General features: G+C 39.3%; 1 pseudogene; it reads left to right on the forward strand.

Moving 5' to 3' along the window:
* Window positions 1359–1464, forward strand: RNU6-49P (RNA, U6 small nuclear 49, pseudogene; annotated as a pseudogene).

The following is a 10994-nucleotide window of genomic DNA, read 5'->3' on the forward strand; positions in this document are numbered from 1 at the left end:
TACCCCTCCCTATATTCATTCCCGTTGTCCTGTACATTTTCAGTGCTCTTCTACTCTGACTCTAGGCTCAATCATACGGCATACTTTAGCCAGTGAAATGCCAGGAAATATGACAAAAACAGAGGTTTGAAAAGCAGCTTGCACAATTTGTCCTGTACTCTTATGTCTCTGCCATGAGAAGGACAAACCTGGGTAGGTCACTGCCCATAGCAGAATAAGTTATTCTCAGCTGAGCCCAGCCTAGATCAAACAACCCCCACCTAACCCACAGACTTGTTTTGTAATAATAAACGATTGTTTTTCATTAGTCACTGAGTTTTGGGGTGGTTTGTTATGCAGCAATAGTTGACTAATCACAGTTTTCAAAAAGAGAGTGAATGACAAAGAAAGAAAATGAGATAAAGATTGAAAAGAGCACATTTAATTGGGTAATTAGAAGGATTCTGCTTACCTTAATTAGGGCAAATTTAATGGAGCAGTGGGTTTGAAACCACAACTGCAGAAGATTTGAAGAGTGTAAAAATAGAATAATCTACTGTTTTGTGGAGACAGACTAAACGCAATGTGGAGAGGTAGAGGGCGATAGGTAGATGGGTATGAATAAAGAGAAAGTGTGTTGTTTGAAGATTGTGGAGATATAAGTACATTTATATGCTTAGGAGACAAAACCAGCAAAGAGAGAGTAGTTGAACAAACAGAAGAAGGAACGACTTAGGCAGAGTGATCTCTGAGCAGGTAGAAGGCAATGAACACTAGGGCACAGAAAAAGGAATTAGCTTTGCTTAGAAGAAGGGGTATTTCTCCACTGAACTGGGAATGTAAAAATAAGGATGGGAATAGATAAAGATAAGTTTTCAGGAAAGAAGGGAGTGGGAGAAGAAAAGTGAAATGGAGTTCCCATATTATGGCCTCTATATAAAGTACAAAGTGATATTGGGTAGGGCATTCTGCAAAGTCACATTGCAAAGAGTAAGAAGAATGATAAACATTAATAGCTGTTACTAAGTGAAGACAGGGAAGATTTACTCTAGTATTGAGGACATACTAAAGCTGGGAATGATAAATTTGTAGTGGTAAAAATGCATGCTTGTATGATTTCTCTAGAAGGACTTTATAATTCAAGTCTAAGAGAAGATGGGCGATTGCAGAGATTCTAATTTGAAATATTTCAGGATAGTGTGATAGAAGGCAAGAGTTAATAAATATAGAAGGAACAGGTGGGCGCGGTAGCTCACGCCTGTAATCCCAGGACTTTGGGAGGCCGAGGCGGGTGGATCACAAGGTCAGGAGTTCGAGACTAGCCTGATCAACATGGTGAAACCTCATCTCTACTAAAAATACAAAAATTAGCCAGGTGTGTGCTCGCTTCGGCAGCACATATAGTAAAATTGGAACGATACAGAGAAGATTAGCATGTCCCCTGTGCAAGGATGACATGCAAATTCGTGAAGTGTTCCATATTTTTTTTACACTGTTGGTGGGACTGTAAACTAGTTCAACCATTGTGGAAGACAGTGTGGCGATTCCTCAAGGATCTAGAACTAGAAATACCATTTGACCCTGCCATCCCATTACTGGGTATATACCCAAAGGATTATAAATCATGCTGCTATAAAGACACATGCACACGTTTATTGCGGCACTATTCACAATAGCAAAGACTTGGAACCAACCCAAATGTCCAACAATGATAGACTGGATTAAGAAAATATGGCACATATACACCATGGAATACTATGCAGCCATAAAAAAGGATGAGTTCATGTCCTTTGTAAGGACATGGATGAAGCTGGAAACCATCATTCTCAGCAAACTATCGCAAGGACAAAAAACCAAACACCGCATGTTCTGACTCATAGGTGGGAATTGAACAGTGAGAACACTTGGACACAGGAAGGGGAACATCACACACTGGGGCCTGTTGTGGTGTGGGGGGAGGGGGGAGGGAAAGCATTAGGAGATATACCTAATGTAAATGATGAGTTAATGGGTGCAGCACACCAACATGGCACATGTATACATATGTAACAAACCTGCACGTTGTGCACATGTACCCTAGAACTAAAAGTATAATTAAAAAAAAAATTAGCCAGGTGTGGTGGCACGCATCTGTAATCCCAGCTACTCAGGAGGCTGAGGCAGGAGAATCACTTGAACCCAGGAGGTAGAGGTTGCAGTGAGCCAAGATCAAGCCACTGGACTCCAGCCTGTGAGAAAGAGTGAGACTCCATCTCAAAAACAAAACAAAACAAAAATCCAGAAGGAACAAATAGGGAAGGACATTGTATCAATATAACTTTACAGTACATTCGTGAGCAACAGAAAACCTTACCATATGTGATAGGTTAAATAAGAAATTATTTTTCTCATACAACAAAAATCCTGAAGAAGGGGCTTAGGGTCGTGTTTTGACTCCACAGTAACATCAATATATCATTCTTCTTCCTCATCCTTTTTGCATGGCTTTTATTTTTGTTGTTGCAATATAGCTGCTGAACAAGGGCATCATCCCGTATGAGTTCCAGGCAGAAAGGAGGAGGAAAGGATCAAAAGCTTTCTCTTAATGAAGTGTTACTTTGGGAGGGCAGTTTTCCATTAAATCTCCCCTTAACCTCTTTGGACAAAAGTGTATCACATTGCATCTCTTGTTGCAAAGAAGACCAGAACTTCAAAGCTTTAATATTCTAGCCACTATAATAGAGGGAGGCCCAGGAAGAGGGGTTTGATGTTGGAGTTAAGTGAGCCAATGATTAGTGTCTATCATATAAGTGAGACCAACAGGAGCTGACATGTTGCAAAAAATAAAGGAACCAAGGATAGAAACTAAATAAATTTGAAAATCAGATGTGATGAGACATGCGAGGAGGCTAACAGATGTTGGAGATTATAATTTCTGGTGTGAAGCAATTTAGGCAAGAAGAAATGGTTGTTGAAGAGTCATAGGGTTTAAGTTTCTTGGAATTCAGAAGGTCAAGAAAACATCAAACTAGAAAGGATCTTCCATATGGATATTGACATTTCTTAAGATGATAGAGGGACTTGCGGTTTTAGTAAAGTAAAAAGTTAGTCTATAATAAACCATATCCTCTTCTGAAGATTACATCAGAATGAAAACATGTCCTGTTGCACATTCTTAAACCCCAAAAGAAATTAGAATGACTTAAATCGGGCAGCAGTTCCCAGAGAAAGTTAATATTCACTGACATATCAATTACCGATTTCTTTGTAATAAACCAATTCAAAATGTAATGACTTAAAGCAACAACCATCTATAATTTTTCAGAAGTCTGTTGGTTATCTGGGTGATTGGAGTCTTGCTAATTTCGGCTGCACTCAGCTGATTTTGGCTTGGCTCATTCACATATCTATGTTCAGCTGGTGAGTCAGCTGGTGGCTGGCTGGTCTAGGTTAGCCTCAGCTGGGATGACTAAGCTCTGCTCCTCCTGCTCTATCATCTTTCACCAGGCTAGCCTAGACTTATACAAAGGAAAGAATCCAAGAGATAAAGCAGAAGTAAGCAAGATTTCTTGCCACCTAGGCTCAGAATTGGAACAACATTACTTCTTTTGCATTTTGGGCAAAGCAATTCATAAGGTGGTTAGATTCACAAGGTGGTTAGATTCCTCTTGGTGGGAGGAATCTATCACATTGTTTATTTTCTTGAGTCATTATTGTAATTCATGGCCATAGAAAGTCTGACTATTATATATACTTCACGAAAATAAGCATAAATGTTTAGAGCTTGACTAAGTGGCTTCTTTTAGATTAGTCAGATTGGATTATTTGAAATGTCAGTGGTAACAGTGATAAACATGGATAGACATACCTCATTTAGAATTTTGTATAGTTTTTTTTCTTTTTCAGGTTGAATTGCTAACCCTAGTAGCTACTATGCATATTGAGCTCTTGACACCTGTTTAATAATAATTTTTTCATCATCTCCCAAGCCATGTAATAAAGTACAAACTCATCATTACATTGTTTGGCTACCATGTGCCTGATTTATCAGGCAAATTTTTAGAACACTGGTGAAGCTCGAGCACACAGTAATAGCTTCCTACTATTTCCATGAGAACGATAAAAGAGAGAGAAAAAATTTTTTGTAAATCCAACGATCCTTCACATGTCTGAAACAAACAACATCAAGCCTGTTTTTCTCAAAGCTGTGCCTACCAAATGTTCCCCTGACTGTGTTTGCCCCAATCCAGAGCACACACACATCCAACTATGTCCACATGGCTCATCCTCTCCCTGCTTCTTTTTGCCTTTCCTCTTACCCACCCTCCAAGTTAGCTCTATATGAATGTGGGTTTGGAAGAGAAAGAAAGCAGAACACTCAGCCTGTTTTCTCTGGATGAATGAGTTTCACAAACAATGACACTCCCCAATGCCACAAAGAAGCTGTTACCAGGTGTGGGACCTGAGGAGAAATACAACTCCCGTACCAGTTGTTCTTTGATGCACCACTTCAGGAGCCATGAAACAGAGGAAATTTAAGATCAATCATAGCTCTTCACACAGTTCCATAAAACATTTTTTCCCTTGAAAGTCACTTTACTTCTAATGATACTTACCATGCCAGTGTGTTAAAACTGTCACTGAATCAAGCTTTTTATTAAGTTGTCAGTGTATCCAGTGTTTCACAGAACCTCTGTGGGGGACTTTCTTGTCTTTTAAACCTACACATCTTTGCCACATAGGCTTTCCTCCATAATTAGCACTGACAGGTTCTCTTTAGAGGAAATATCCCACTCTCAGAGTACAAGAGGTAGCAGGTGGGTGGAAATAGATTTGAATCATTTATGAGACAGGGAAAGGGAAACCAACAGTTTTCATGGCATATGGCTGTGAAGAGAATATTGAACGAATGGGTTCTGGACAAGTGAAGTCATACAAGTCAACAGTGAATTGAAGTAATAACACAGGTTACTTATTCCAAGAGAGCTGCAACATTTTGGAGTGAGATTTTCCCCAATTCAGGATCACATTGCTGAGTACATAACCTTAGTCTACATTTCTGTGGTCTGAGACTATTCTGGGAACCATAATATTACCCTGTGGCCACCCATCTATGGAAGTCTTGGCAAGTCAGAGCCTCTTGGTGTCTGGGTGGTTTCTATAGGATATCTTCTTCCTTGGCTCTACTGATTTTTATGGCACTAAACTCTGAACACCCATTCAGTTTCCTGTCCCTTTCCCCATCCTAATAGGCTCAAATTTTTAGGAAACCATGAGTCTACCCTCATATCACTAGAAATTCATTCACTTAGCTTAAGGTAAAATTCAAATTCACTGAATGTCCTTTGACATAAGCCAGGTACATATTTGGTGGTTTTAGTAGAGCCAGCCCAGAAGGTTCCCATCTATGTGGCATGATCTGAGATGGTAGACTTTGCCTACAACATCCAGATATTTGTAATTCATGTGAACAGCTTGCCAGGGAATCCAAAGTTCCTACTACTGGAGTAAATGATCCTTTTCGCCAGATCTAATCTGTTTCTTTTTCTTTTCTTTTCTTTTCTTTTTTTTTTTGAGATGGAATTTCACTCTTGTCACCCAGGCTGTTGTGCAATGGCGCTATCTCGGCTCACTGCAACCTCCGCCTCCAGGTTCCAGTGATTCTCCTGTCTCAGCCTCCTGAGTAGCTGGGATTACATACAGACTTCCGCCACCACGCTCGGCTAATTTTTGTATTTTTAGTAGAGACGGGGTTTTGCCATGTTGAACAGGCTGGTCTCCAAACTCCTGATCTCGGGTTATCTACCCGCCTCGGCCTCCCAAAGTGTTGGGATTACAGGCATGAGCCACTGCGCCCAGCCCTAAGTTTCAAATTTAAAAATTCACTTAAAATTTCCATTTAAATTCAATATGGTATAGAAACATAATATTATAAGTTAAGATAGCATGCTGTGGACTTCTTATTTCAGCGCTAACATGTAAAGAGCTTGGAAAGTTGTCACTCCCATCCTTATGACAGGAAAAGGTGAACTAAAAATCAATGATTTTTTCTTGGACCCATCAGAGAACTGAAGTACAGGGCAAACCATCACCCTGAAATCTGGAGAGATGGGTGAATTAAGAGAGTCACAGATGAGGTCTGTTAACCAGGAGCAGAAGCAGCTAGAGCCATAAAACGGTAGGAATACTTAAATGGCAATAATAAGAAATTGCTAGAGGTAGAGCGTGGACTAAAATGAAAGGAAGAAACTTCTGGGATGCAGTCTTATGGCGGGGGGGTGGGATCCATATTTTCTTGAGATTTACCTCCAGGATCCCCACCACATACTTATGGGAAAAAAATTGAGCATGATCTCCTGGTGGCTCTGGTAGGGTAAAAGGAAGAGCAACCATCTTGAAATATGCCCAGGGTATTGTATATGACAAAGGCCTAATCTCCAGGGGAAAAGACTTTTAACCAGGATCTTATTCCAAGTTAAGGAAGGGCATTTTTCCTACTCCATTCCCTTCTAGCATTTCTCTCTCACAAGAGGAGAAAAATAAAGCCAGGAAACACTGGTGATGGTCACAGCACAAAGGTACAGGCCTATTAAAAGATTAAGATTTCATCATAAGTTTGTAGAATGCTTTCCCTCCCCAGTACCTTACCACCACACCAATAGGAGTCTAGTAAAATGGCAGTGGATTTTAGCTGAAATAGCAGCAAGATGCAGACTCTTTGAGGAGTATTAGGGAAGCCCAAAGTCAACAGGGGAGGCAAAAACAAAAACACTAGAGGAATTTGAAGCCTCAGACACCTATAGCTACAGCAAACATTAAACACAGACCAACTTCTAGCCAGGTTAACGTGAACATTTACATTAAAGGCCTATTTGACATAATTTCTATTTTCTGATACATTATGTCTGGCTTTTAACAAAAAAATCAAGCCATTCTAAAAGGCAATAAAAATCACAGAATGTAGAAACAAAACAAACATCAGATCCAGATCTGGTTCTGACAAAGATTTTAGAATTATCAGACAGTGGATTTAAAATAACTATAATTAATATGTTATGGGTTCTAATAGATTAAAAAAATAGATAAAAACAGACAACACTCAAGAACGGTTGCATAATTTAAGTAGAGAAGTGGGAACTCTTAGAAAGAATTTTAAAAATGCTAGAGATCAAAACCACTGTAATAGAAATTTAAAAATGCCTTTGATGATCTCATTAGTATACTGGACATGGCCAAGAAAAGAATCAGTGAGCTGGAAGATATTGAAATTTCCCAAAATGAAATGCAGAGATATAATGCTATCTGAAAACCTTCAATAACATATCAAATAGTAATTTTATCATAATTATACCCATCAAACAGTTAAAACATGTTTTAGGAAGAAATATGAGATTGCATAGGGGCCATGTCTTTCAACAGAAAAACTATATTGGTCCATAAAATGTTTCAGTAAGTTGATTACTTATAATCAATTATTTCTGAAATAGGAGGAGGGTTCTTAGCAAAAGCATTAGGTAGTGTCTTATTTCAGAGAACTGGAATTATTGTTATCAGCTTCTGTATATTGCTTTAGCCGTTTTAGCAGAGAATAAATAACAATGGCTTTAACGAGAAGGAAGATTTGTTTCTTTTTTTTTGGAGATGGGTGTCTCGCTCTGTCGCCCAGGCTGGAGTGCAGTGGCGAGATCTCTGCTCACTGCAAGCTCCGCCTCCCGGGTTCACGCCATTCTCCTGCCTCAGCCTCCCGAGTACCTGGGACCACAGGGGCCTGCCACCACACCCTGCTAATTTTTTGTATTTTCAGTAGAGATGGGGTTTCACCATGTTAGCCAGGATGGTCTCGATCTCCTGACCTCGTGATCCGCCCGCCTCAGCCTCCCAAAGTGCTAAGATTACAGGCGTGAGCCACTGCGCCCGGCCAATTTTTTATATTTTTAGCAGAGACAGGGTTTCACCATGTTAGCCAGGATGGTCTCGATCTCCTGATCTCGTGATCCGCCCGCCTTGCCCTCCCAAATTGCTGGGATTACAGGCTTGAGCCATGGCACCGGGCCCGATTTGTTTCTCTTTTATATGAATGTCCAAGCTGCTAAGTAGGACAAAAGGATAAAGAAGCTCTGGTCCATAAAGTCACTAAGAGATTTTCATTTCGTTCTTCTTGTTGCTCTGACATCCTCTACGATGTTTTTCTTATCCTCAAAGTCAAAGGTGACTCAGCATCATCATATCTGTTTTAACCCATGTAGAAAAAAGGAGAAAAATAAGTAGAGGTCACTCATCTTCCTTTTAAGAAAGTGACCCAAGAGTTGCACAGACCACTTCTGTTCACATTGCTTTGACCAGAATGTGGTTGCCACACCTAACTGCAAGGGGTCTGGAAAAAGTGGCCTTTAGCTGTGTGCCTAGCTACCCAGTTTTAAAATGGAGATTTCTTGTACTAAAAAGGAAAGGAAGGAAGGAAGGAAGGAAGGAAGGAAGGAAGGAAGGAAGGAAGGGAGGGAGGGAGGGAGGGAGGGAGGGAGAGAGGGAGGCAGGCAGGGAGGGAAAAGGAAAAAAAAAAGAAAAAGGAGAAAAGAAAAGAAAGAAAAAGTGAGTATTAGGGACAATTAGCAGTCTGTGCCACAGTGTACCTTCTGAACACCCAAGTATCCATGAATACCACTTTCCTCCAGAATACAATCAAAACAGCAAAGCAGTTACTTTTTCCAGCTCAAAACATAGCATCTAATATGCCACTGGAGGGGTAAGACACAGATTTCATTCACAGGTGTACCAGAGTTGACTTGCAGCAGCTTGTACCAGTTCACAAGAAACGTTTGTTAAAAAGTTTCAATTTTGTGATCCAGTTGTTAAACACAATCATTACTAAAAATTAATTTGTATATAATGTATCATTAAACAAATTATATTAAAAATAAGGTAAATATTCAAAACTCATCTTTTGAAAATTATTTTACTATGTTTTACTATTGCCAGGCAGACCTGTGCTTTGCTTTGTTGAACTTTGCAGATATGTTTTTCACAAATTGAAGGTTTGTGACAATCCTGTGTTGACCAAGTCTGCTAGCACCATTTCTCCAACAGCTTGTGCTCACTTTATGTCTCTGTGTCACATTTTGGCAATTCTCACAGTATTTCAAACTTTTCATTATTATTATATTCATTATGGTGATCTGTAATCAGTGATCTTTGATGGTACTATTGTCATTGTTTAGGGGTGCCATGAACCATGCTCATATAAAATAGCGAACATAATTAATAAATGTGCGTGTGTTCTGACTGCTCCACCAACTGGCCATTCCCCTGTCTCTCTCCCCGTCCTTGGGGCCTCCCTACTCCCTGAGACCCAACAATATTGAAATTAGGCCAATTAATAACCCTACAATGGCCTCTAAATTTTTAAATGAAAGAAGGAGTCACATGTCCCTCACTTAAAATCAAAAGCTAAAAATGATTAAGCTTAGTGAGGAAGTCATGTCAAAAACTGAGACAGGCTAAAAGCGAGGTCTCTTGTGTCAGTCAAGTTGTGAATGCAAAAGAAAAATTCTTGAAAGAAATTAAAAGTGCTACTCCTGTGAACATGCAAATGATAGGAAGATACGGAGAAAGTTTTAGTGGACAGACAATCAAACCAGCCATAACATTTCCATAAGTCAAAGCCTGATTCAGAACAAGGTTCTAACTCAAATTCTATGAAGGCTGAGAGAGGAAAGGAAGCTGCAGAAGAAAAGTTTGAAGTTGGTTGGCTCATGGGGTTTAAGGAAAGAAGCTGTCTCCATAACATAAAAGTGCAAGGTGAAGCAGCAAGTGATGATGTAGAAGCTGAAGCAAGTTATCCAGAAGATCCAGCTAAGATCATTGATAAAAGTTAATACACTAAACAGTAGATTTTCAATGTAGGTAAAACAGCCTTCTATTGGAGAAACATGTCATCTAGGACTTTCATAGCTAGAGAGGAGAAATAAATGTCTGGCTTCAAAGCTTCAAAGGACAGACTGTATTGTTAGGGGTTTAATGCAGCTGCTGACTTTAAGTTGAAGCCAAAGTTCTTTTACCATTCCAACAATCCCAGGGCCCATAAGAATTATGTAAAATTGACTCTGCCTGTGCTCTATAAATGGAACAACAAAGTCTGGATGACAGGACATCTGTTTACAGCTATTTTACTGATATGTACTAATATTAGTTTACTAATTATTAGTTTGCTAATTATTTTAAGCCCACTATTGAGACCTCCTGCTTAGGAAAAAAAATATACCTTTCAAAATATTACTGCTCGCTGCTCATAGACAATCCATCTGGTCACCCAAGAGCTCTGATGGAGATGTACAAGAAGATTAATGTTGTTTTCACGCCTGTTAACACAACATCCATTCTGCAGCCCATGAATTGACTTTCAGGTCTTATTATTTAAAAAATATATTTCAGTAAGGCTATAGCTGCCATACATAGTAAGTCCTCTGATAGATCTGGGCAAAGTAAATCAAAAACTTTCTGGAAAAGATTTACCATTTTAGATGCTATTAAGGACATTCATGATTTATTGGAGGAGGTCAAAACATCAACATTGACAGAAGTTTGAGAGAAGTTGATTCTAACCCTTATGGATGACTTTGATGGGCTCATGACTTCAATTGAGGAAGCAACTACAGATGTGGTGGAAATAGCAAGAGAACTAGATTTATAAGTGAAGCCTGAGAATGTTACTGAATTGTTGCAATCTCATGATAAAATTTTAACAGATCATGGTTGCTTCTTATGGATGAGCAAAAAGTGTGGTTTCTTGAGATGGATTCTAGTCCTGGTGAAGATGCTGTGAGCATTGTTGAAATAATAACAAAGTATTTAAAACATTACATAAACTTAGTTGATAGAGCAGCAGCAGAGTTTGAGAGGATTGACTCCAATTTTGAAAGAGTTCTGCTGCAAGTAAAATGTTATCAAACAGCAACATACTACAGAGAAATCTTTCATGAAAGGGAGAGTCAGTCAAAGCAACAAGCTCTATTGTTGTCTTATTTAAAGAAATTGCCATA

This window comes from Homo sapiens, chromosome X (genome assembly GCF_000001405.40).
Source record: "Homo sapiens chromosome X, GRCh38.p14 Primary Assembly".
NCBI lineage: Eukaryota > Metazoa > Chordata > Mammalia > Primates > Hominidae > Homo > Homo sapiens.